The 27,409-nt window shown below is 35.2% G+C and overlaps 1 long non-coding RNA gene across 1 annotated transcript in view, besides 1 other annotated feature; it reads right to left on the bottom strand.

Moving 5' to 3' along the window:
- Nucleotides 1-27,409, bottom strand: part of LINC00278 (long intergenic non-protein coding RNA 278) — a 99,277-nt gene that overhangs the window by 12,884 nt on the left and 58,984 nt on the right. The window contains exon 2 of the long non-coding RNA NR_046502.1: nucleotides 10,048-10,105. This is a non-coding gene — a long non-coding RNA (long intergenic non-protein coding RNA 278). The remainder of the gene's footprint in view (nucleotides 1-10,047; nucleotides 10,106-27,409) is intronic.
- Nucleotides 872-1,413: an enhancer, noted in NCBI's record as "OCT4-NANOG hESC enhancer chrY:2956017-2956558 (GRCh37/hg19 assembly coordinates)". NCBI's record gives its function as "activates a minimal SCP1, AML or CMV promoter by ChIP-STARR-seq in naive H9 embryonic stem cells {active_cell/tissue: H9 hESC(naive)}" and the evidence as "EXISTENCE:reporter gene assay evidence [ECO:0000049][PMID:30033119]".

Raw genomic sequence — 27,409 nt, 5'->3', positions numbered from 1 at the left:
AACTCTTCTATGCGGCCAGCATTATTCTGATAACAAACCTGGCAGAGACACAATGACAACAGCAACAACAACAAACACTGCCAAAATGCTCAAAAAAAAAAAAAAAGAAAGAAAGAAAGAAAAAAAACTGGCAAAATGAATCCAGCAGCACATCAAAAAGCTAATCCACCATGATCAAGTCGACTTTATCTTTGGGAGGCAAGGTTGGTTCCACACATGCAAATCAATAAATGTGGTCTATTACATAAAAAGAACTTTTAAAAAACGATCATCTCAATAGATGCAGAAAAGGCTTTCAGCAAAAATCAGCATTCTTTCATGTTTAAAACTCTCACCAAATTAGGCATTGAAGAAACATACTTCAAAATGATAAGAGCCATCTATGACAAACACATGGCCAACATCTTAGGAAACAGGCAAAAACTGGAAACATTTCCCTAGGGAAATGGAACAAGACAAGGGTGCCCACTCTCCACAATTCTAGTGAACATCGTACTGAATGTCCTAGCCAGAGCAATCAAGCAAAGAAATGAAAGGCAACCAAATAGGAAGAGAGGAATTCAAACCATCTCTCTTTGTAGTTGATACGATTTTATACCTAGAAGACCTCATAGTCTCTGCCCCAAAGTTCTTAGATCTGGTAACCAGCTTCAGAAAAGTTTCATGATACAAAATTATTACCGGTAGTGGGTCTTGACTACACACTCTCTAGGTCCTTGGCGTTTTAAACAAAGAATTGAACAAAACGCACAAAGTAGCAGAGAAATGAAATGCAAGAACGAAGCAGTGAAAGCAGGAATTTATTAAAGCGAGAAAGCACTCTGCAGGGAGAGAGTGGGTCCCAGCAAGCGGCCCCATGGCCCAGTTACAAAAGTTTCTGGGCTTTAAGAACTCTGTTTGAGGTTCTTGGACTACCCCTTATCTGGATGAAGGATTTGGTCTGTGGTTAAAGGCTGCTGTGAATTGGTGCCCAATGCAGATAAAGGGATGGTCCCTGCTTGGCCTGTGGCTAATCCAAGGTACTCTCCCTTTCCAACTGAGACGGTGGAAGGGGGAGGGAGGGTTGTTGGGAGAGTAGCCTTGTTCCTTTGTTACTCCCTGTGGGAGATGGGGTTTTTCCTTTTGGTTTAGCTTTAGGAATTTTGTGTTAATTGGCCTTAGGTTCCCTGCCCCCAGACCCAGGTGTTTTCCTTTTGATCCAGCTTTGAAAAGTCAGAGTGAATTGCCCTTAGATTCCTTGCCCACAGAGCTTGATGTTTTTCTGTGACTCAGCACGAATTGGCCTTAGGTTACCTGCCTCCAAGCCCTATTCTCCTGCCTAAAAATCAATCTGCAAAAATAAGTACCATTTTATACACCAGCCACATCCAAGCTGAGTGTCAAATCAAGAACACAATTCTTTACAAAATAGCCGTAAAAAGAATAAAATATTAGTACCTAGGAATAAAGCTAACCAGGGACGTGAAAGACCTCTTCAAGGAGAACTACCAAACAGTGCTCAAAAAATCAGGGCACAGTGGCTCACGCCTGTAATCCCAGCACTTTGGAAGTCCGAGGCAGACATATCGCTTAAATCCAGGAGTTTGAGATCAGCCTGGGCAACATGGCGAAATCCTGTCTCTACAAAAAATACAATTAGCGAGGCAGGCGTGGTGGCACGCAACTGTGGTCCCAGCTACTCAGCAAGCTAAGATGGGAGGATCCCTTGAGCCAGGGAGGTGGAAGTGGCAGTGAGCTGAGATCGCAGCACTGCACTCCAGCCTCGATGACAGAGTAAAACCCTGTCAAAAAAAAAACAAACAAACAGAAGAAGATGATGAAAGAAGGAAAGACAGAAAGACAGAAAGAAAGAAAGCAGGAAGGCAGGAAGGAAAGAAAGAAATCAGAAATGGCAAAAAACAGATGGAAAAATATTCCATGCTCATGGATAGGATGAATCAATATCATAAAAATGGCCATACTGCCCAAAGCAATTTACAGATTCAATGCCATTTCTATCAGAGTACCAATGACATTCTTCACACAATTATAAAATATATATATATATATATGGAACCAAAACAGAGCCGGAATAGCCAAAGACATTCTAAGAAGAACAAAACAAACAAACAAACAAAAAACATTAAACCTGGAAGCATTACATTACTGAACTTCAAACTATACTACAAGGCTACAGTAACCAAAATAGCGTGGAAGTGGTACAAAAACAGACACATAGATCAATGGAACAGAATAGAGAGCCCAGAAATAAAGCCACACGCCTACAACCATCTGTTCTTTGAAAATGTCAACAAAAAAAGGCAGTGGGAAAAGGCCTCCCTATTTAATAAATGGAGCTGGGATAGCTGGCTAGTCATATGCAGATGATTGAAAGTGAACCACTTTCTTACACCATATACAAAAATCAACTCAAGATTATTAAAGACATAAATGTAAAACCTAAAATTATAAAAACCTTTGAAGAAAACCCAGGAAAATCCATTCTAGACATAAGCCTTGACAAAGATTTTATGACAATGATGCCAAAAGCAATTGCAACAAAGTAAGCAACAACAGAAACAGAGAAGCTGTGCAGAAGCTGTTTAAGTCTTTTTCTGTTATATCTGATAGCTCCTCATTTTTACATACTTTTCCCATTGTTTCCTTTTTTCTGTGTATCATTCACACATTCCTATTTATTTGCATATCTTGTAGTTTTTTGATAACTGAACGTTATAGGTCATATATTGTGGCAATTTGGGGTACTAAGTTTTTTTTTTCCTGTCTCTGACAAATGGGACCTAATTAAACTAAATAGCTTCTGCACAGCTGACATCATACTTAATAACCAAAAGCTGGAAGAATTTCCCTTGAAAACTGGAACAAGACAACGATGCCCACTCTCACCACACCTATTCAGCATACTACTGGAAGTCCTATCCAGAGCAATCAGGTAAGACAAAGAAACAAAAGACAGTCAAATAAAAAGACAGGGAGTCAAACTCTCTTCAAAGACATTATAATTCTATACCCAGAAAATCCTCTAGTCCCTGTACAAAGGCTTCTAGATCTGATGAATGACTTCAGCAATGTTTCAAGAATCAACATCAGTGTACAAACATCAGTAGTATTTCTATCCATCAATACTGTCCAAGCTGAGAGCCAAATCAAAAATACAATCCCATTCCCAATAATCACATACATATACACAAAAATACCTAGGAAAACAACTAACCTGAGAAGTTAAAGATCTTTTCAACAAGAATTACAAAATGCTGCTCAAAGAAATCAAAGATGACACAAACAAATGGAAAAACACTCCAAGCTCAGGGATAGGAAGAATCGATATTTTTAAAATGGCCACAAGAATGACCCGAGCAATTTACAGATTCAGTGCTACTCCTATCAAATTATTAATGCCATTCTTCACATAATCAGAAAAATCTTTTTTAAAATTCACGTGGAACAAAAATATAACAAACATCCAAAGCAATCCTAAGCAAAAAGAAAAAAGCTGGAAGCATCATAACATCCAACTTCACACTATAGTGCCAGGGTAAAATAACTAAAATAGCATGGTACTGGTACAGAGATGGGCACATAGATCAATAGGAAAGGATGAAAGGCCACAAATAAAGCCACACACCTAAAAACATCTGATCTTCGACAAAACTGACAAAAACAAGCAATTGGGAAATAATCCCCATTCAATGAATGGTGCTGGGATAGCTGGCTTGCCATATGCAGAATGTTGAAATGGGACTCCTTCCTTATACTCTACACAAAAATCAACTCAAGATAGCTTGAAGAGTTAAATGTAAAACCTAAAGCTATAAAAACTATAGAGGAAGACCTATGAAATGCCATTCTTAGACATTGGCCCTTGTTCAGAAATCATGATGCAGCCTCCAAAGGTAATTTCAACAAAAACAAAAAATTGACAAATCGGACCTAATCGATCTAAAGAGCTTCTGCAAAACAAAAGAAACTATCAGAGTAAACAGACAACCTACAATATGGGTGAAAATATTTGGAAACTGTGCATCCAGCAGAGGTCTAATATCCAGAATCTAGAAGGAACTCAAGTCAACAAGCAAAAATAATCCCATGTAAAAATGGGCAAAGACATGAACAGACAATTTTCAAAAGAAGATACACACGTGGCTATCAAGCATATGGAAAAATGTTCAATATCACAAATCATTAGGGAAATGCAAATCAATGCCACAAAGAGATACCATCAGAATGGCTATCAGAATAACACCAGTCAGAATGGCTATCATTAAAAAGTCAAAAATAAATAAATAACAGATGCTGGAGAGGTTGTGGAGAAAAGGGAAGGCTTCTACACAGTTAGTGGGAATTTAATTTTTCTTTAGCCAATGTGGAAAACACTTTGGAGATTTCTCAAAGAAGTTAAAACAAAACTAACATTTGACCTAGCAATTCAATTAATGGGTATATACTCAAAGGAATATATATTATTCTACCATAAAGACACACGCATGAGTAAGTTCATCGCTGCACTATTCACAATAGCAAAGACATGGAATTAACCTAGATGGCCACCTACAGTGAATGGGATAAAGAAAATGTGGTGCATGTAATGTACATCACGGAATACTACAAAGATTTTTAAAAATTAGATCATATTCTTTGCCACAACATGAATGGAGCTGGAGGCCATAATCATAAGTCAATTAATGCAGGAACAGAAAACCAAAGACTACATGTTCTTACTTATAGGTGGGAGCTAAACATTGGTACCCATGGACACAAAGAAAGAAGCAATAGACACTGGAGCTTATTTGAAGTTGAAAGGTAGGAGGATAGTGAGAATTGAAAAACTCTCTACTGGGTAGTATGCTGATTACCTGTGTTACAAAATTATCTGTACACCAAACCAGCATGGCATGCAATTTACCCGTATAACAAACTGGCACATGTACTCCTTAAACCAAAATAAAAACTGGGGGGAAAATATCTCAGTAACTAAGTCTAAAAAACAAAGGCTTCCAAATTACTTGAATGAATTTAAAAAATGTCCATAGTTATCAATAATTATTTTATTATTTTTATACTTCTGTTTACTTTTTAATAGACTCTAACAAAATAAACTACCTAATAATACATCTAACAAAAATGTGTTTTGAATATAACAAAAACCATAGAAAGTTCCTAAGTTATATGAATGTAGACATAAACACATGAAAAATCAAATCATGTTATTAGATGGGAAAACTCAATATTATCAACATCAATTGTTCTTAAGGTAATTTACAAATTTAATTTTGTTCCAATACAGATACAATTAAGTAACGCAGATGGGCATGTTATTGTATAAAAGTCTTTTATTTCTTTCCAAACACTATTTTAGGTTTAGGGGGTACATGTGCAGGTTTGTTACAAGGGTAAATTGCGTGTCACAGAGGTTTGCTGTACAGATCATTTCACCAGCCAGGTGATGAGCATAACATCGCATAGGTAGGGTTTTAATTCTCAATCTCCTCTCACCTTCCACCCTCAAGTAGGCCCCAATGTCTATTGTTCCCTTCCTTATGTCCCTGTGTACACAATGTTTAGCTCCCACTCATAAGTGAGATCATGTGGTATTTGGTTTCTGTTCCTGCATTAATTTGCATAAGATAATGTCCTCTGTCTGCATACATGTTGCTGCAAATGACATAATTTTACTTATTTTTATGGCTGTGAAGCATTCCATGGTGTATATGAACCACATTTTCTTTATCAAGTGCACCATTGATGGACATCTGGGTGGATTCCATGTCTTTGCTATTGTGAATAGTTCTGTGATGAACCTACATGTGCATATGTCATTATGGTAGAAAAATTTATATTCCTTTGTGTATATACTTAGTAATGTGATTGTTTGGTCAAATGGTAATTGTGTTTTAAATACTTTGAGGAATCACCAAACTGCCTTCTGCAATGGCTGAACTAATTTACATTCCCACCAGCAGTGTATAAGCATTCTCTTTTCTTTGCAACCTCACCAACATCTGTTATTTTTTGACTTTTTTATAATAGCCATTCTGACTGGTGTGAGATAGTATTGCATTGTGGTTTTAATTTGTGCTTCCCTAATGATTAGTGATATTGTGCATTATTTCATATGCTTGTTGGCCATGTGTTTGTCTTCTGAGAAGTGTCTGTTCATGTCATTTGCCCATTTTTAGAGGAGTTCTTTCTTTCTTTTTTTCTTGATTTTGTAAAGTTACTTATAGATTCTGGATATTAGGTTTCTGTTGGATGTATAGTCTGCAAGTGTATTTTCCCACTCTCTAGGTGGTCTGTTTACTGTGTTGGTAGTTTCTTTCACTATGTCAAAGCTCCTTAGTTTAATTTGGTCCTGTTTGTCAATTTTTATTTTTGTTGAAATTATTTTTGGAGTCTTCACCATGAAATCTTTGCCAGACCAATATCCAGAATAGTATTTCCTAGGTTTTTCTCTAGGGTTTTATAGTTTTAGGTTTTACATTTAAGTCTTTAATCCATGTTGAGTTGCTTTTTACATCTGTTTAAATAAAGGGGTTCAGTTTTAATCTTCTGCCTATGGCTAGTAAATTATCCTAGTAGCATTTATTGAATAAGGATTTCTTTCCGCATTGCTTGCTGTTGTTGAGTTTGTCAAAGATCAAATGGTTCTAGGTGGACGACTTTATTTCTGGGTTCTCTAACCTGTCCCATTTATCTATGTGTCTGTTTTTGTACCAGTACCATACCTTTTTGGTTATTATAGCCTTGTAGTATAGTTTGACATCAGCTATTGTGATGCCTCTGGCTTTGTTATTTTGCTTAGGATTTCTCTGCTGTTTGGGCTCTGTTTTTGTTCCATGTGAATTTTAGAAGTGATTTTTCTAACTATGTGGAAAACCTCATTGTTAGTTTGTAGGGTTTTTGCTGAAAGGTCTACTCTTAGCCAGACTGGGTTCTTTTTGTAAGCAACTTGCCCCTTATTTCTAGCTGCCATATATATACTTATATATGTATATATGTGATATATATGGCATATATATACTTATATATGTATATATGTGATATATATATGCCATATATATACTTATATATGTATATATGTGATATATATATGCCATATATATACTTATATATGTATATATGTGATATATATATGCCATATATATACTTATATATGTATATATGTGATATATATATATGTGTGTGTGTGTATATATATATATATATATACTGCATTGGGGATGGTTGCCTTGCATACTGTTTCACAGGGGTTCCCTGAATTTCCTTACTTTGAACATTGCTTTCTCTACTGAGGTTGGAGAAATTTTTGTGGACAATACCCTTGAATATATTTTCCAAGTTTCTAGTTCCCTCTCCTTGTTTTTCAGAGACACCAATGTGTCATAGGTTTGGTGGTCTCTTTATATAATTCCATATTTCTTGTAGGTTTTGTTAATTCTTTTGTATTTCTTCTTTATTTTTGTCTGACTGAGATTCAAAGAACTGGTCTTTGAACTCTGAGATTCTTCCTGCAGCTTGGTCTATTCTGCTGTAAATACTTCCAATTGTATTATGAAATTGTTGTAGTGAAAATTTCAGCTGTAGAAAATCAGTTTGGTTTTTGCATATAATAGTTATTTTCTGTTTGAGCTCTTGTATCATTTTACTAAATTTCTTAGTTTCCTTGGCTTGAGTTTCAATTTTTTCCTGAATCTTCATGATCTTCATTGTTATCCAGATTCTGAATTATATGTTTATATTTTAGACATATCAGCTTGGTTAAAAAGTATTGCTGGAGAGCTAGTTCAATTGTTTGTTTGGATATAAGGGTGCTCACCAACCCTGTGCAGGGTTCCCAGCTTCCTCCCTCTTCAGTCTATGTCCTCCCTTTACCCACTCTCAATGCCTTCTTCCTGAAAATTTGCTTGGAGTGTGCTGGTCTTTTTGATAGTCTAGTCTCTTAGTGGGGGAAGCTCTTTCTATCTGCATCTAGTTGGCCATTTTGGCACTTTTGCAAAAAAAATTGTATAGATGAAAACTCAAATAAGACTATCCAAGTAAACTAAACTTTTTGAGCTATATGAGCTTTGGAATCCCCTTGCCTTTTCTTTGTCCACTTCCCAGCTTCTGGAGTGCCATGTTGTCCTCCCTACTGATCTCTCAGGTCCTGTGAGTCACAGGGAATAGAAAGTTGAGGCAGAGCCATGTGGGCCTCCCAGAGTGAAGAAAAAAAAGCAGTGGAGGCTGCTCAATAACTACTTTGAATGTAAATAGTTTAAACTGCCCAATCAAATGACATAGATTGGCAGAATATTTTAAAATAGAAACATGATTTAACTATACACTGACTACAAAGACTCATTTTAAATCTAAGGATATACAGTAAAAATGAAAGGATAGTTGATTTTCATACATTATATGAATGTATCAAATTATCACATATACCCTGAAAATATGTACATCTATTATGCATAAATAAAAAAAGAAAAAAATGAAGAAACATATTTAGCAAAGAAAGTGAAAGAATGGCGAAAATATTTCATGCAAATAGTAAAAAAAATTGAGCAGAAGTGGCTACATTAATATTAGACAAATAATTCTCAAGTCAAAAATAGTTACTAGAGACAAAAATGGACATTATGTAACAATAAAGTGTTCAAATAACCAAGAAGATACAGTAGTCCTCCCTTATCCACGTGGCATAAGTTTCAAGACTCATCCCACAATAGATGCCTAAAACCATTGATAGTACCAAATCCTATATCTATCTATATATATGTATATATGTGTATATATGTATATATAAGTGTGTGTGTATATATATATATACTATTTATTGCACTTATATGCATTTATGCACCAAATGTCTGAGTCTGAAAATATGTGAAGCGAATACTGATGAATTTGACGGGATGACGAGAAGAGATACTTTGCATGATTTAATGTTTTTAAATTAATTAAGACTTTTTCTGTGGCCAAGCATGTTGTCTATCTTGGAGAACATTCTATATGCACTCAGAAAAAAAATACATTCTTCTGTGTTACTTATGTTTGTTACATCCAATTGGTCTATAATGTTTATCAAATTCTCTTTTCATTTATCAAACTTCTGTCTTATTTTTTCTATTATTGAACGTGGGATATTGAAGTCTCTAAGAGACGTTCAATAATTTAAAAACATTAAATCATGCAAAGTAGCTCTTCTCATCACAATTGAATAAAAGTAGAAATGAAGCAAAGGAAAACTGAAAAATCCACAAATATGTGCAAATTAAACAATACACTCTTTAAAAAACAATGAGTGAAAGATAAAATCACTAAAGAAATTAGAAAATGTCTTGAGAAAAATGAAAATAAAAACACAAAATAATAAAACTTATAGATATAGCCAAAAAAATGCTAAGAGGGAATTTTTAAATGTAAGTGCGTACATTGAAAACGAAGCAAGAATTCAAATTAACTACCTAACTTTAAGTCTTATGAAACTAAATAAGGAGAAAAAACTAAACCCAAGTCAGAAGAAGGAAATAATAAGGCTTTGAGCAGAGATAATCAAAATGGAGAATAGAAAATCAAGATAAAAAATAAGTTGATAATTTCCTTTTACAGGGCTGATTCTTAAACTGATCTCTCCTGAGTCCTAATCAGTACTATTTTCACTGCACCTAAACAAAGTGCACCAATTTCCGTGTAACCTAATTAAACCTATTAGCAAAATTTTTATTTGGCAGCTAGAACCATGACAGTAGGTCCAATTTGCAGAGCGCAGTGCAAAAGGAAAATGTAGGCCTCATCTGGCTGTTGAGCAGTCAAACTCTCCTTCCCATGGGCCTCCCTACCCCAACCCATGGCCAATGTGTGACTCCTAAGGACTGCAACCTCTGCAATTAGGCAATTGCTATGGTCACTAATTCTTTTCTCTGCCTCTCTATTGTGCTGTTGAGCACACTCAAAGTTTTGTTTAGTTTTTGTTTATTATATTTTACAGTTTGTTGTAGTTTATTTTGTGCTGGTGTAACAGAATGCTACAGACTGGGTAATTTATAAACAATATAAGTTTTTCTGGCTTACACTTCCGGAGGCTGGGAAGTCCAACATAGAGGGGCTGCATCTGGTGAGGGTCTTCTTGCTGCAGCATAACATGGCAGGAAGTATCACATGGAGAGACATCACATGTGGATGAGAGAGAACAAGAGGGAACCAAACTCACTTTTATACCAAACCCACTCTCATGGTAATGAACCCACTCCATTGATAATGGTATTAATACACTTAAGAAGGCAGAGACCTCATGATCTAATTACTTCTCATAGGTCTCACCTCTTGACACTATTTCATTGGGTACTAACTTTTCAAAACATTAACTTTGGGGGATACATTCAAGCTATAGGACTGTTATACAATTTTTATTTGTTGCTTCTTATATCTTCTATTTTTAGGTTTAAAAATTCTATTTCTTTGCTGGAACTTTGTATTTTGTCATTTGTTCGAAACACTTTGGTAAGTGCTCATTGAAGCATTTTTATTATTGCTGCTTTAGAATCTCTGTCAGATAATACTAACATCTCTTTCTTCTTGGTGATGTCAACCATTGCTTGCCCTTTTTCGTTCATTGTGCAACCTATAGCAGCCTGGATTAGAGATTTCGTATCTGTAAAATGTTGGCCATATTGGAACCCTGATGAAAAAAAGATTGTGCTGATAATTTCTCTTTATTTTTACTTTGTTTCCTCATGTTTGCTACCTTAAGCCACTATAATATTTAGAACTGAAATATTTATGACATTTTAAAAATTTTCATTTTTTAAGAGACAGGATCTCACTGTCACCCATGCTGGAGTGCAGTGGCACAATCATAACCCACAGCAGCTATGAACTCCTGGGCTCAAGCAATCCTCCTCTCTTACCCTACAGAGTAGCTAGGACTACAGGTGCATGCCACCACACCTCTTATTTTTTATTTTTGTAGAGATGGAGTCTCACTATGTTGCCCAGGCTGGTCTTGAATTATTCACCTTCAAGGAATCTTTCCACCTTGGTCTCCCAAAGGGCTGGAATTACATGCATGAGCCACAACAAGTGACATTTATTTAATAGTGTTTTATGGTGCCAATTTAAAATGTTTGGAAGTTGAAAATAATATTTTATGCTTTCATTGCAGGACAGAAGTTTGTAACTTCCATTGTATGTGTGTGCATATGTATATGTATGTGTTTATGTGTGTACATATATAATCAAAATGTATATATTTACATAATATATATTGTATAATATAATGCATTTGAAACAGTTGTTTACTATATATCTACATATATAGTAAGATATCTATGTATACATAGCATTATAAATATATAGTACACTACAGTAATCTATATATATTATATATGTAAGATATATATACATGATAGAAATGTGCAAATTCAACAACGCTTTCTTATGTTGTTGATTCTTATATGATAATAATTAACTCCAGAAATAATGTCAGAGACAAATAAATTTGAGAGACTGATGAAGAGTAAGTCCCCACCTTAGCTTATGGCCTAGGCCTATCAGCTAGACACCGATAAGAAATGATTATGAAATGATATGAGCTGAAGGATAATATATTGTTAGTCAGAAACTGAGATGTAATAAAATGGCAACGTAGCTCTTGCCAAAAGAGAAAAAATTTTTTCTTGAGTTAAATAATTCAGTCATACCTAACTAATAATGCCATGCTTAAACTGAATCTTACTAATAGTAAAGCAAATTAACATAATCACCTATCATTGAAAGTGTTCTTTGCAGATTATTCATGTCATCTTGCAATTATCTTTAAATGTTTATTTAAACCTTTACTTAAAAGTCAATGAGCTTACTTTGCAAGAGGCATAAATCTAATGTTTTGTATTTCGATGTTTTCCAGCCTATGCAATGTCCATCAGGCATGTATTTATGTAATATTATTTGAGATTGAGTTTAAAATTTCAAAGCACATGTTTCCTAGAAGTGGATCTTTAACATAATGACGACTATATTACCAGAAAATATTTTAATCACCATTTGTAAGAATAATATCCCCCAAAAAAGGTCAATTTTATACACAGAATAGCTATTATATTCTTTGTCCCACTATTCTCATCTTCCTCTGGCTTTTTGTCAAATAGGTGCAAGTTGTTAAAGGAGGCTAAGTTATCTCTGCCCATTGTTATCTACTTGCACAATGAGCAGTAGGACATTCCAACTTTATAAGTGTAGAATTCAACATCTACTTTTAAGGTCAAAATATTCACTTGGTTAGTACATCTAGTTGACATATGCCAGAGTGTATCACATTTTTTTTTTATATTCTTAGCCAAAGATATTCATTTCTAAATAAAGAATGTCCTTAAACCACCTCAACCTATAGCTTTTCCACTGAATGTTTATTGGGTTTCTAATGTTTAACTTCAGAAGGTAATGTAATAATGTGAAAGTAAAAAGGCCAATAAAACTATGGCAAAACACTTCCCTTATGCATTTATGCATTGTAATATTATAAACTAAATTTAATGTGACTTTAGAGATGTAATTTTGGCTTTTTAACAATTAGGATGACTAATGAAAAAAGGTATTGTAGAAAACGTAAAAGGGAGTAACAAAAGATTTCAGAAGAACTATATAAAACAGAATTTCAGATGTTAATGACTAAAGACTCCAATAATTAGTAATACTGACAACAGTTACTGTTTACTAGGTGCTTGATGTTAAATTACATAATTCTCACCACAAACTCATAAATTAGAAATTATTTTCCCATTTTAAATGAGAAAAAGAAACTTTATGTGGATTTTTGCCCTAGTCTAAATTTACCCATCTAATAAACTATTTTAAAACTTGTGTTATTTGCTAGTACTCTCTAACAACCTTCTTTGAAATGACTACCTTAGTTATCTACTTGAAAGCACTAATGCAGACAAGACTCAAATTTTCTTCAAGATTTGTAGCACTCTCAAACATCGGGTCCAATTGATATCTGGTATCTGCCAAGTATATTGATAAAACCAAACTGCATAGCACATTGTTCTGATAGGAAACTCTGATAGCTTTTAATAGAAACTGTAATGAGTGACATATTTCTTCACTTTTCTTGAAGTATACCCCTTAGTAATTGTTCATTGAGAAACAGCTGTCATTGATGGACAAGCCTGCATATGGATGATAGTACATGCAACAGGGCTATAAACCACAAACAATAAGGCAGATTGTGATGGTTAATGTTAGGTGTCAACTTGATTGGATTGAAGAATGCCTAGATAGCTGGTAAAGTATTGTTTCTGCGTGTGTCTGTAAAGGTGTTGCCAGAGGAGATTAACATTGCAGTAGGTGGACTGGGAAAGGAAGCAAAACATGGGTGGGCACCATCCAATCCGCTGCCAGAGCAGCTAGAACAAAGCTAGAGGAAGAAGGTGGGATAAACTGACTTGAGTCTTCTGGCTTTCATCTGTCTCCTGTGCCGGATGCTTTCTTCTGTTCCTCCTGCTCTTGAACATCAGACTCCACGTTCTTCGGCCTTTGGACTCACACCAGTGTTTTGCCAGGGGCTCTCAGGCCTTCGGCCACAGACTGAAGACTGACTGCAGTCGGCTGCCCTGCTTTTGAGGCTTTTGGTCTCTGACTGAGCCACTACTGGCTTCTTTCTTCCTCAGGTTGCAGACAGCCTATCGTGGGAATTCGCTTTGTGATACTGTGAGCCAATTCTCCTTAATAAACTCCCTTTCATATATACATATATCCTATTAGCCCTCTGGAGAACCCTAATACACAGATTAATTAGAAAAATTAAATCACTGGTAATTAGTTACATTATGGGCTATTTCCTTTATTCTCATATTATTTATGATGACTGTCAAGTGCATAGTGTCTCAGAGACCTAAAAATGTATAGTTATATAAACTAGACATAAAATATTAATCTGGTACAAGAGAAATAGACTATTAACACTTGAATATCAATTCTTAAGAAAATTAATGAAAATATAATGATAGTATAATTAATGCATGTGTGTGTATCTGATTTTTAAAAATATGTTGCCAATATTCTTTTCCTGTAACAGGTCATTTATGGACATTTCAACATGGCTATAAAGTATATAAAGGGAGTTAATGATGGTGGTAAAATTTAATAAAAAATTTTAAGAAATTTATATTTACCTGATTAAGATTAGATTAAAATCTGTTAAGATTTTATGAAGACTTCAACAAAGATACTGGCCAGGCACGGTGGCTCACACCTGTAATCCCAGCACTTTGGGAGTCTGAGGCAGGAGGACTGCTTGAGGCCAGGATTTCAAGACCCAGCGTGGGCAACATAGGGAGATTCTGTCTCTACAAATAATCAAAAATTAACTAGGTGTACTGGTCCCTGCCCATGGTTCCAGCTACTCAGGCTAAGGTGGGAGGATCAATTGAGCCTGGGAGGTCCAGTCTGCAGTGAAATATGATCACAACACTGCACTCCAGCTTGGGCAAGAGAACAAGATCCTGTCTAAAAAAATAATGTAAATAAAAATAAAAGATAAATGCCATGTTAATGTTGACGGTTCAATCTCTGATTTTCTGTGGATAATGTTATTCATTGTTTCTTATTTAAAATCTTTTGTTTCCATTTCAAAGTAGCCATATCCTTCCCTAAACAAGTAAAGAGATTTGAAACAAAATAATTCCTGGATTAGTAATTTTACTTCTAAGAGCCTATTATTTGAAAATTGCCTGAAAACATCATAAACACACACACACACACACACACATACATTTTTATCACAAAATGGCTTATGATAATCAAAAATGGAAAAAAATAAACTGTACCCCAAAATAGGCAAAATGCATACATACAAGTCATCAATTAGATGAGATGTTATGCAGTCACTTACAACCACATATACAAAGAATTTGCAACATCATGAAAAATGATCAGAAATAATATTAAATGATTAAGAGTATATTTCATGTATAGTGAGTGTAATCTGAGCTACAAATATATATAACACTAATAAAATACACTAAATATTATTTATATTTCAAAAAACTCAAGATTTTAAAATACTATGTTTTAATGTGAATGGACACAAAACTTTTCACTAATATTTTTGTCATTCCTAGCTTAAAGTATATGCGTGTTAAAATTGTCAATGTAAAAAAACCCTTTAGGTTGTGAATGACTCTAATCCAAATATGCCAAAGCTTATCTTCATATTGAACCTTATAGCTTCTAGTAAGTAATACTTACTTTCCTCTAATATCGTAAGTTTTTAGTAGTTTATTAAGGTTACCTCTATTATGTAAAACATAATTGTTCCATTTTATAAATTGATCATCAGATTATCATTAATAATCTGACATATATCAAGTAACCTTGAAACATGTGATTTCATAATTCTCTAACTTATAAACGAATATTAATAAAACACATATATAATGTATACTTCTATAATATATAAATTTTTACAAACCTTTAGCTAGACACATATGTAATGTAATATATATAATATAATATTATATTACATAATACATAATATATAATATATAATATATAATATATAATATATAATATATAATATATATTGCTCTGTGGCCCAGGCTGGAGTGCAGTGTCAGGATCTCGGCTCACTGCAACCTTGGCCTCCTGGGCTCAAGCAATTCTCATGCTTCAGCCTTCCGAATAGCTGGGAATATAGGCGTGCACCACCACACCTGGCTAACTTTTGTATTTTTAGTACAGATGGGGTTTTGCCATGATGGCCAGGCTGGTCAATATGAGCTCCTAGTCTCAAGTGATCCCACCTCAGCCTCCAAAAGTGCTCGGATTACAGGCATCAGCCACTGTGCCTGACCATACATATTTTTAAATACAGATTTGGAATGAAAAAATATATTATTTTTTCTCTGTAAACAAAGTCACAAAGTATCCCAGCGTGTCCGGAATTGGTGGGTTCTTGGTCTTGCGGACTTCAAGAATGAAGCTGCAGACCCTCACGGCGAATGTTACAGTTCTTAAAGATGGTATGTCCGGAGTTTGTTCCTTCTGATGTTCAGACTTGTCCGTAGTTTCTTTCTACTGGTGGATGTGTGGTCTCACTGGCCTCAGGAGTGAAGCTGCAGACCTTCATGGTGAGTGTTACAGTTCATAAAGGTGGCGCCTCCGGAGTTGTTCGTTCCTCCCGTCTGGAGTTGTTCCTCCCTCCTGGTGGGTTCCTAGTCTCGCTGGCTTTAGGAGTGAAGCTTCAGACCTTCGTGGTGAGTGTTACAGCTCTCAAAGGCGGCACGGACCCAAAGAGTCAACAGCAGCAACATTTAGCAGGAAGAACAAAGGAACTAAGCTTCCACAGCATGAAAAGTTGCTGTTGCTGGCTGAGGTGGCCTGCTTTTATTCCTTTATCTGGCCCCACCCACATCCTGCTGATTGGTCCATTTTACAGAGAGCTGATTGGTCCAATTTGAGAGAATGCTGATTGTTGTGTTTACAAACCTTCAGCTAGACACAGAGTGCTGATTGGTGCGTTTACAATCCTTTGGCTAGAGGAAAAGTTTTCCAAGTCCCCACCCATCCCAGAAGCCCAGCTGGCTTCACCTGTCACTGGCAGTCACCCGTGGGCACTCCGGCAGCCCAGAAGGAGCTCAGCCCTGATCAAGCCCAGCAGGTGCCGGCAGGCCATGCCCACCCGGAACCCAAGCCAACCCGCGAGTGCTGCACTCAGCCCCAGCTCCCCGCTGCGCCTCCCCCTCCACACCTCCCCGCAAGCAGAGGGAGCCGGCTCTGGACTCGCCAGTCCCAGAGCGGAGCCCCCACAGCGCAGTGGCGGGCTGAAGGGCTCCTTGAGTGTGGCCAGAGCAGAGGCTGAGGCCAAGGAGCTTCCCAGAGCAAGCGAAGGCTGCTAGCACGTTGTCACCTCTCACCAGGTTATTCAAATAAAACTTCTGCAATATATACTAATGGTAGACTGGAGTCAGCGTGATCAATGCTCAAATATAGGCTCTGCTACTTACTATTTGTGGGATTATGAGCATATGAAAATAGATAATATAGTCAAGCTCTCAAGTTTGCTATTTATAATTAAATAAAATATTGCATATGAATTGCCTATATATTAAAATTCAGTAAGGCAGCAATCGATGAAGTATATCATCATCCTCATCATCATCATCAATACTATGTTCAGATTTGGTTTGTTACTTACAATTCGACACCTTTAACTTAGAACTAAGAGAAGATGCAAATTAAATATCCAAAGAGGAGATACATTTCACTACATGCCCTGAAGTCAGCAAAAGTATAGTAAAATAATACTATGAAAGTCTCTATATACATAAATTTGACAAACTAAATAATATTGACCCATCCTAAAAAAACAAACTGTCACAACTCGCCCAATATAAAATAAATAATTTGAATAGCCCCATCATATTAAGTATACTGAATTTGTAATTTCAAATACTCCCACAAAAGAACCTCCAGACCAAGATGGTTTCATTAGAGAATTCTATCAAATTTCTGAAGAATTAATACCAATTCTCCATAATCTATTTCATAAACTGAAACATTACAGAATATTTTCTAATTCATTTTATGAAGCAAGCATTATCCTAATACCAGAACCAGACAAAGACAGTACATAGAAAGAAAACTATCTCTCGTGGATATGCACACAAACTCATCCACACCCAGACACAAGTTTCAGAAAACCTTTACTGCATTCGTAACAGTATGGTTATCACCTTGATATTTTCTATATTGTTATTGCCAGTTGTATTTGAATTTTTACCTGTTATTTTAGGTTTGGGTGTACATATGAATGTTTGTTACATAGGTAAGCACATGTCATGTGGGTTTGTTGTACACATTATTTCATCACCCAGGTATTAAACCCAGTACCCAATAGTTGTCTTTTCTGCTCCTCTTTCTCCTTCCTCCCTACCTCCTCAAGTAGACCCCAGTGTCTGTTGTTTCCTTCTTTGTGCTGATAAGTTCCCAGAATGTCTATCATTAAAAAGTAAAGGCCAGGCACAGTGGCTCACACCTGCAATCCCAGCACCTTGGGAGGCCGAGGCGGGCAGATCACCTGAGGTCGGGACTTTGAGACCAGCCTGACCAACATGGAGAAACCCCATCTCTACTAAAAATACAAAATTAGCTGGGCATGGTGGCACATGCCTGTAATCCCAGCTACTCGGGAGGCTGAGGCATGAGAATTGCTTGAACCTGGGAGGCAGAGGTTGTGGTGAGCAGAGATTGCACCATTGCACTCCAGCCTGGGCAACAAGAGCGAAACTCCATCTAAAAAAAAAAGAAAAAGAAAAAGAAGTAAAACAAGCAAACAAAAAAACAATGAATTCTGGTGAGGTTGTAGAGAAAATAAACACTTATAAACTGACGGTAGAAATGTAAACTAGTTCAGCCACCGTGAAAAGCACTTAGGCGATTTCTCAAACAACTTAAAACAGAACTAACATTTGACCCAGCAATCCCATTACTTCGTATATATGCAAAGGAAAATAAATCATTCTACCAAAGAGACACATGCATGCATATATGTTAATCACAGCACTATTCACAATAGCAAAGACATGGAATCAACCTAGATACCTGTAATGATGGACTGATTAAAAAAATGTGGTACATATGCACCATGGAATACTACGCAGCCATCAAAAAGTTAGTCATGTCCTTTGCAGCAACAGGATCTACCCATAGACCATAATCCTAAGTGAAGTAACGCAGAAACATAAAACAAAATGCCCCTGCCTCAGCCTCCTGAGCAGCTGGGACTACAGGTGTGCACCACCACGCCCGGCTAATTTTTTGTATATTAGTAGATACGGGGTTTCATAATGTAAAATGCTTTTATGTACGCTTAAAAAGAAGAAAAGAAAAATAATAATAGACATTCTGTCTGGTGTGACGATCTCATTGTGGTTTTAGTGTGCATTTCTCTACTGATTAGTGATGATGAACATTATTTCATAAATTTGTTGACCACATATATGTCTTCTTTGGAGAAGCGTCTCTTTGTCTTTTGCCCATTTTTAATAAAGATATTTCTTTTTTGTTCCTGAATTATTTAAGTTTCTTATAGATTCTGGATATTAGACCTTTCTTAGATGCATAGCTTATGAATATTTTCTCCCATTATTTAGGTTGTCTGTTTAATCTGTTGACAGTCTCCTTTGTTGGGCAAAACCTCTTTAATTAGGTCCTACTTGTCAAATTTTGTTTTGGTTGTAATTGCTTTTGAGGACTTAATCAGAAATTCTTTGCCAAAATTGATATTCAGAATGGTATTTCCTAGATTTTCTCCTGGGTTTTGTTTTAGGCCTTACATTTAAGTTTTTTAATCCATCTTGAATTAATCTTTGCATATGGTGAATGGAAAGGGTTTAGAGTCAGTCTTCTGCATATGACTAGCCAGTTATCCCAGCACAATTTATTGACTATGGAGCCTTTTGCCCATCATGTATTGTTGCCAAATTTGCTGAAGATCAGGTGGTTGGTAGATGAATAGCTTCATTTCTGGGTTCCATAACCTGTTCCAATGGTCTATGTGTCTATATGTTGTATCAGTATCATGATGTTTCGGTTATTGTAGCCTTGTAGCATAGTTTGCAGTTTGGTAGTGTGATTCTTCTGTCTGTTCTTTTTCCTTAGGACTGCTTTGGCTATTTGCACTTTTTTGGGGGGGTGGGGGTTCCATATGAAGTTTATCATAGATTTTTCCAATACTGTGAAGAATGATGTTGGTACTTGGACAGGAATAACTTTGGATCTGTAAATTGCTTTCGGTGGTATGGCCATTTAAGCAATATTGATGCTTCCTATTCATGAGCATGTAATATTATTTTTCCATTTGTTTGTGTCATATCAGATTTCCTTCAGCAGTGTTTTGCAATTCTTATTGTAGATATGTTTCACCCCCTTGGTAAGCTATATTCTTAGTTATGTTGCTCTTTTTCTTTTTTATTGTACAGTTTCTCCCAACAAGAGGTATAATCTATTTTCCCTTCTTTTGACTCTGAACCTGCATTGTGACTTGCTTTGACCAATCAAATGCAGGATAAGTAACTATGTACCACTTCTGAGCCTGAGCTTTAAGTTTCCTAGGCTTCTATTTGTTCCCTGAAAACTTGTCCAGTTGCCTTGTGAACAAGCCTGTGCATAAGGCTGCTGGAGGATGAGAGACAACATAGAGCAAAGATATACTGTTCCAGCTCAGTTTCCTAAACCAACCAGCCCCCAGTCAACCCAACAGCTGGCCATGATGCCAAGGATGAACCCACATGGAACCAACCAACTCAGAATAGTTTGCTTTTTCAACTAGCACAATAATTAATTAAAATTGTTGTTATTTTAAGCCATATAGCATTGGAGTACATTGTTACACAGAAGAAAAACCTAACTGATACACTACAAAAAAAATTAAGTATTCCTATGTTTAGTTATCCCTCTTCATGTATCTCAATAGATTTACAGTACAATGACCTCGGTTATACCAAAACTTGTTCCATATGCTTATAAGCCAAGTATTTTTGTCTAGAGGGATACCTGTTGTTAGGGGGATCTCTAAATGCTGCTGCTGTTAATGTTTGTCCTAAGAAACATTCAGGCTAAAGGCAAACTGGTAGTAATAGAGATTAATGTGGGATATCTGGTAGTGAAAGGTGTCCCCTTATTGTACATTGAAGAAGCTTTAGCTAGGGCATAAACAAACAACTGTAAAAGTAAATATTGTTTGTGTGTAAACCTTACCAAAATAAATAGAAAGGAGTAAACACATCTGTTAAACTTATCACTTAGCATTAAATAGCTACAAAGAGAAGTTATTTGACAAAATTCAACTGCCTTTTTTGAGTTCAAATTGATTTTTGAACCCAGTTAAAGTATCGTTTTAAGGTATTGCTTAGGTATATATCACAGAAAAGAAATTATGGGGACTTACCTTCATGAGAAGCAAGACAGATTTTAGACTTTAATGTCAAATTGTGATTTTAACAAAAATTAAGTTGAAGAACACTTGACAATATTTCTTTTCCACCTAATTATTATATTTTCTTCAAATAAATTAGGCCTAGAAAGCATAATATAATAGATGCAAAATATTTCTCATAGGAAAACATAAGTTGGTCTTCAAAACTGAAATAAGTATCAAAAAAGGTATTTATGCTTTCATAGTCACATAAAACTTTAGCCAAAAAGAGTAATAGTGCTTAAATAAAACCCAAAATAATTTGAAGATATTAGGTGCCCTGATAACACTTTGAGAGAGCCATACTCTATCTGGTTTCTGATATTAGGTTATGACGGCTTTCAGAAGATCCACTGATTATAAAAAGAATTAAAACTAATGAAAATGAAAATGATGGTGGAATCATTTGATTTAGAATAGTAACACATTTTCAGACACTAAAGGCAATATAATTACATTAGAGGTTTTAAAAAAGACACAACATTCATTACACTGGTTATGACATGCTCTTGTTTCAACATATTAATATAAGGAAATTTAATTGAATAGAACAGTATTTCCTGGTTCAGAATCCTCTGCATTAGCTGTTCCAGAAAGATGCTGCTCTCTTCAAGTAGAAAGCAGACTTTTGTCACTGCCTTCTAAATATATTACTTTCACATATATGCTTTCTAAAACATGGATAAATGAGAACAAATCCAGAACCAAGAGTTCTCCAGCTATTGTAAAGAACCATCTACATTGGAATTATCTTGCGTGCTATTTAAAAATGAGGATTCCATTTCTATTCAAAGAAGAAAATCAAATAAACAGGTAATAGAGACTGAGATAAACTTTGCAGTGTTGATGACCAATAAAAGATTAATATCTAATACATGCAAATAATTCTCCCAAATCCACCATAAAAAGACAGAAGGTGCAAAAGAAAACACAGTAACACAAAAAACAGGCAACCAATATGAATAAATTGTTCACTGTTTGATCACTAGTTGCCTAGTGCAAAGCTTGGCAGAAAATAGTCGCTTAGATAATACTGAGTGAATGGAGGGGGTCACAGAAATGACCAACAATTATGTGAAAAGATGGTAAACATCACCAGTAATTGAAATGGTGAAATGTAAAGCAACACATGTGCTGCGTTAGTATTACTAGGAGGAAAATGGAAAGTCAAGTAGTTTCAAATGGTGAAGGTTGGGGGAACAGCAACCCTTAATATATAGTCATTGGGAATTAAAACTGCTGTGGCCATTTTGGAAGTCATTATCAAAGTATTTAGTACAATTGAGGATTCTTATGATTGAGTAACTCTATGCCTGGGGGAAATATTTAAAAAGAAATAAACTTCTGCCAGGAGCACAAAGAGCTATGAATTATCTTGCTCAGTTAGAAAAAAAAAACAAACAGAGAAGTAATCTGTGGTAACAGAGATAGAGACAACATAGATGTCCATCTATAGCATTTCAATTTCATGCTAGCTATTGGTGCCACATAGTTTTCTGAGATCTAGAGTTGGGCATAATATGTGCAAGAATACACACAGAGCAAAAGTAAAATTGGGAGCCTGCTTGACATAAATCTGAACATTAAATGTTATACTGTTAAATGAGTGTTATATCTTCCTGCAGTGACAAGTACACCTTTAAAACAACCAACTGGAAAATTATGTGTATTCATCTGTCAAGGCTTTAGTGTTTATTTCATACAGACTGTGAGGTGGTTAGGGAAAGAGAAGGAAGTTGGTTCAGCCACATCTGGAATTGAGCTCAGTTTGGATTTTGTTGTTGCTATGGTTACTTTCATTGTACCACAAACTTCAAATTCCTCCAGCAGTGAGTCTGCTGCTACCTCTTGCTTAGTGTGAATCCTAGAGTGCTGGAGAGTTTTGTCAATATGCTTGCTTCACCCTCAACTTTCAAAGGATCATGAATAGTTCTGTTAATTCTGTAGGAGTCTCTCTCTATGATCATACAACTTTCAGCAGTAGACTTCTGTGTCTGGTCATTCAGAGTTAGGCTCATGATGTAGGAGGAGACTTGGTTCTCCTAATCAAATATAGGCCTTACATTTCTTTAAAAATGATTGTTTAGGCCGGGCGCGGTGGCTCACGCCTGTAATCCCAGCACTTTGGGAGGCTGAGGCGGGCGGATCACGAGGTCAGTAGATCGAGACCATCCTGGCTAACACGGTGAAACCCAGTCTCTACTAAAAATATAAAAAAAATTAGCCAGGCATGGTGGCAGGCAACTGTAGTCCCAGTTACTTGGGAGGCTGAGGCAGGAGAATGGCGTGAACCCAGGAGGCGGAGCTTGCAGTGAGCCGAGATCACACCACTGCACTCCAGCCTGGGCGACAGAGTGAGACTGTGTCTCAAAAAAAAAAAAAAATTGTTTAATTATATTTCATTTCTCGGCAAAATAACACCATTTTTGAAACCCTCAACTTTCAGTTTGGCTCCCAAGAGACTTATTTACTTTTATTTTCTGAGAATTAGCCATAACAAAATAAATATAGGTTTTCTTAATTTACATTATACATATATATAACATGTTATAATATGTCTATGAGCTGAAATATGTTGGCAAAATTGTATACTAAACATTTTGTACGTGTAATGCTAAATTCAAGGGACATTCTGGGTTACTTGTTTATATTCCTTCTATTGTTATTGGCTACTCAAATAACTTAGGCAAGATGCATTATGGAATGGCATAAATTTATCTCTAATAAAATTTCTAATATTCTAATAAATGATAACTTTTTAATTCTTAAGAACACTGATAGACTAGAAACTTTAGATACCTAAGCCTTGAGAGAGTTTTTGGGTACCAAGTTATACGTCTGTGAATATTGGCAAATGAAGGAGAAGCGTGACCAGTTTGGACAGCAATATTTGTGCTTCTCTTGGTCACACAATGATTTTTACTAAAGTGCATAGAAAGCATAAACTTGAAGCCCAGAAAAAGAAGCAAAAATAAAACTAAAAACAACAAACCTCATAGGACACAATTGTATCATTAACATGAATTGATGATATTTTTGGCCATTCACTTGATCTATACTGATTCAACTAGAGTATGGAAATAGTTTGCTGAGATTAAAGAAAGTCAGAGCAAGTACAGAATAGTGTCCTTACCTGGCTTCTCCTCTGATCCATTAAAAACACATTTAAGAAAAACCACACCTTTGATCAGGCACGGTGGTTCACATCTGCAATTCCAGCATTTTGGGAGGCTGAGTCAGGTGGACCCTTGAAGCCAGGAGTTCAAGACCAGCCAGGCCAACATGGAGAAACCCCATCTCTACTAAAAATACAAAAATTAGCTGGCCATGGTCGCAGTGAGCCGAGATCACGCCACAGAACTCCAGCCTGGGTGACAGAGCAAGACTGTGGTCTCAAAACAAAACAGAACAAAACAAAAGAAAACACACACCTTTAACAGTAACTTAATATTTTGTTTCTTACTTAATTATATCAACTCAGCGGAAGTCTTATTAGAAATGTTACCCTTAAATTACAGAAAATGAATGAAGTCAACCTGATGCACAAAATTAGTAGAGTCAAAATCAGAGACAGCCTTAAATGAAATGTCATGAGACACTTGATTCGTCTCTACACAATGAATGGATTTTTGACTATTTCCAATTGTTTCACCATCTCTTAAATGCCATGTACCACATGTTCTCTATTCTTAAAGTACATGGTGAGAAGATGAGACTCCAATGCAGAGCTCTTTTCCAAGTGGTTGAGAAGACAGTGCTCACAATTATCCATCCATTCAAATGTAGAAAAATATGAGTTAGAAGTTGTTGCTTTATTGTTTACTAATTCATTGTTTTGAAAATTATAAATCCTTGTAGAGATATAATACATTAATATTAAATTCTACAAAATGTTGAGCTTTCACCTTCTAAACAAGAATCATACATGGGCTTAAGGGAAAAAGAACAACAAAAATACTTTGGGAAATAATTATGTTGTTTCAAAATACTATATATATGTATATATACCAACATTGATTGAAAATATATACTTTCCTAGAATCAGATGCAGACGTGCAAATAATTTTTATATTTAAGATAATATTAATGGTATCATCCACCTATAAATTAACAATTGTTTCTTTCTTCTTACTATCTATGATCTTTGTTTCTTCTCCAAATTTCAGTGATCTATTTTCAGAGACAATTTCATTCAGCAATATCTCTGCATTTATAATTATGTTTTGTTTTGCTTTATTTTAATTAATATGAAATAAAGGTTAGACTGAATAAAAGTAAGACAAGATTGGTTATTAGTTTTAAAATGCCAGATAACAATGGTCAAGTTTTCTTTTTGCCAATCTTAACAAATCTTTTCTCTGTGTAAGCAGGAATCAAATCTGCATGTTATTTTATCAACTGGATTTACATTATCTGCAAAGAGTTAATGTTTTTTTTTGTCAGAAACAATGTTAAAGTTCAAAATTCTATCCATGCACAGAAGCAACAAGTTGTGTTTGATTGAAATGTAGTTGGTCATCCATTTTAAGTGTAATTGTTAATGTTATAATTAACATATAGTTATTGAAAAATAGGAAACAGAAACAAAATAATACATCCAGGGATTGCCAAGAACTTAACTGAAGGACACACACACACATACACACACACTCAAAAGATTAGTAAAAATAAAATATAATTATATTTAGATAAACACAGCCAAAATGGCAAAAACAGGTATTACAATGAAATATGATAATTTTATATATATATAATATATATATGCCTGAATATTTACATAAAATGTAACATGAGATTTCATTAGAGTTAAGGAAGAAGTTCAGGATTAATCTACCGTAATGGAAAAATAAAGCAGAATCAGATAGCGCTGACTGAATAAGAGCATTTCTAATAGAAAATAAATTCTATCTTGATGTGATTTTTGATATGATATTTTCTGCCAGTCAAGACTCTCAAAGTGGCATATTGATTTTTGTCCAAGAAAGATATATACTGCATTTATATTTTCATTGTGACATTTTTAAACACACATATAAATACCAAAGTACATCCTCTTTCCTAAGAAGTATTATATTTGATCAACTCTAATGTAATTTATCAAGACCTGTGTAGCAAAGTAGAAATTTAGACATCACCATTCAAATGTTCTTAAAATGATAATTTTCTGTATATTTTCCTCTTGATCTCTTAGTCACATTTCTGCTAATGGGAATGTGGCGGTTGAAGAGCACAAAATAATAATAATAAAAAAAAAACAGGAAAACTTAAGCCTGACATTTATAAAATCCCCAGACCGTTATTTTGTGGATATTGACAAACTGATTCTAAATTGTATGTGGAAAAGCAAAAGACCCAGAGGAGACAACGGTACACTGAAGGAGAAGAAAAAATAGGAGAACTTACATTAGCTGACTTCAGGACTAATAGCTAAGTCAGAATAATCAAGACAGTGTAGTATTGGTAAAATGATAGACATACAGGTAGAATAGAGAGCTCTGAAATAGATTCATACAAATATAGTCAACTGATCCGTGACAAAAATATGTGAATGTGCTTCAGTAGAGAAAGTATAGACTTTTAAAAAGTAGTGTTGGAACAAACATTCACATGCAAACAAAAACAAAAACAAATCTAGACACAGGTCTTATATCTTTCATAAAAATTAACTTTAGTGGACCATAAACCTAAATATAGAACAAAACTATTACACTTTAAAAGACAACATAGGAGAAAATCTAGGTGATCTTGGATTTGGCAATGACTTCTTAGCTACAACACCAAAAGCAAAATCCATAAAATAAAAAATATATATAGTTGAGCTTTATTTAAATTAAAAACTTCTGCTCTGAAAAATACAAGAGAATGAAAAGATAAGCCACAGAGTGGGAGAAAATCTTTTCAAAGGACATACCTGATAAAGGACTGATATTCAAATACACATAATAAACTATTTGAACTTAAAGATAAGAACACAAACGACCTAATTAACACATTAGCAAAACATGTGGCAGGCACCTGACCAAAGAAGACACATAAATGGCAAATAAGCCTATGAAAAGGTGTTCAGCAACATATGCTATTAGTGAACTGAAAATTAAAACAACAAGATACTAATACATATCTATTAGAATGGCAAAAAAAAAAAAAAAAAAAAAAAAAACCTCCAATCACACCAAATGCTGGCAAAGAGGTGGAGTAATAGGAAGTCCTTTGCATTGCTGGTACTAATGCAAAGTAATACAGGCACTTTGGAAGACAATGTCATAGTTTCTTTCAAAACTATTTACCCAAATATGTTAAAAACTGACATCCCCACAAACACGTGTGCAAAAATGTTTATAATAATCTTTTTCATAATTTCCCAAACCTGGAAGTAACCAATATGTCCTTCACTAAGTGAATGGATAAACACAGTGTTGTATATCCATATAGTAAAATATTATTTAATGATAAAAAGAA

Source organism: Homo sapiens, chromosome Y, assembly GCF_000001405.40.
Source record: "Homo sapiens chromosome Y, GRCh38.p14 Primary Assembly".
Taxonomy (NCBI): Eukaryota; Metazoa; Chordata; class Mammalia; order Primates; family Hominidae; genus Homo; species Homo sapiens.
This window is presented reverse-complemented; position numbering and strand designations above follow the sequence as displayed.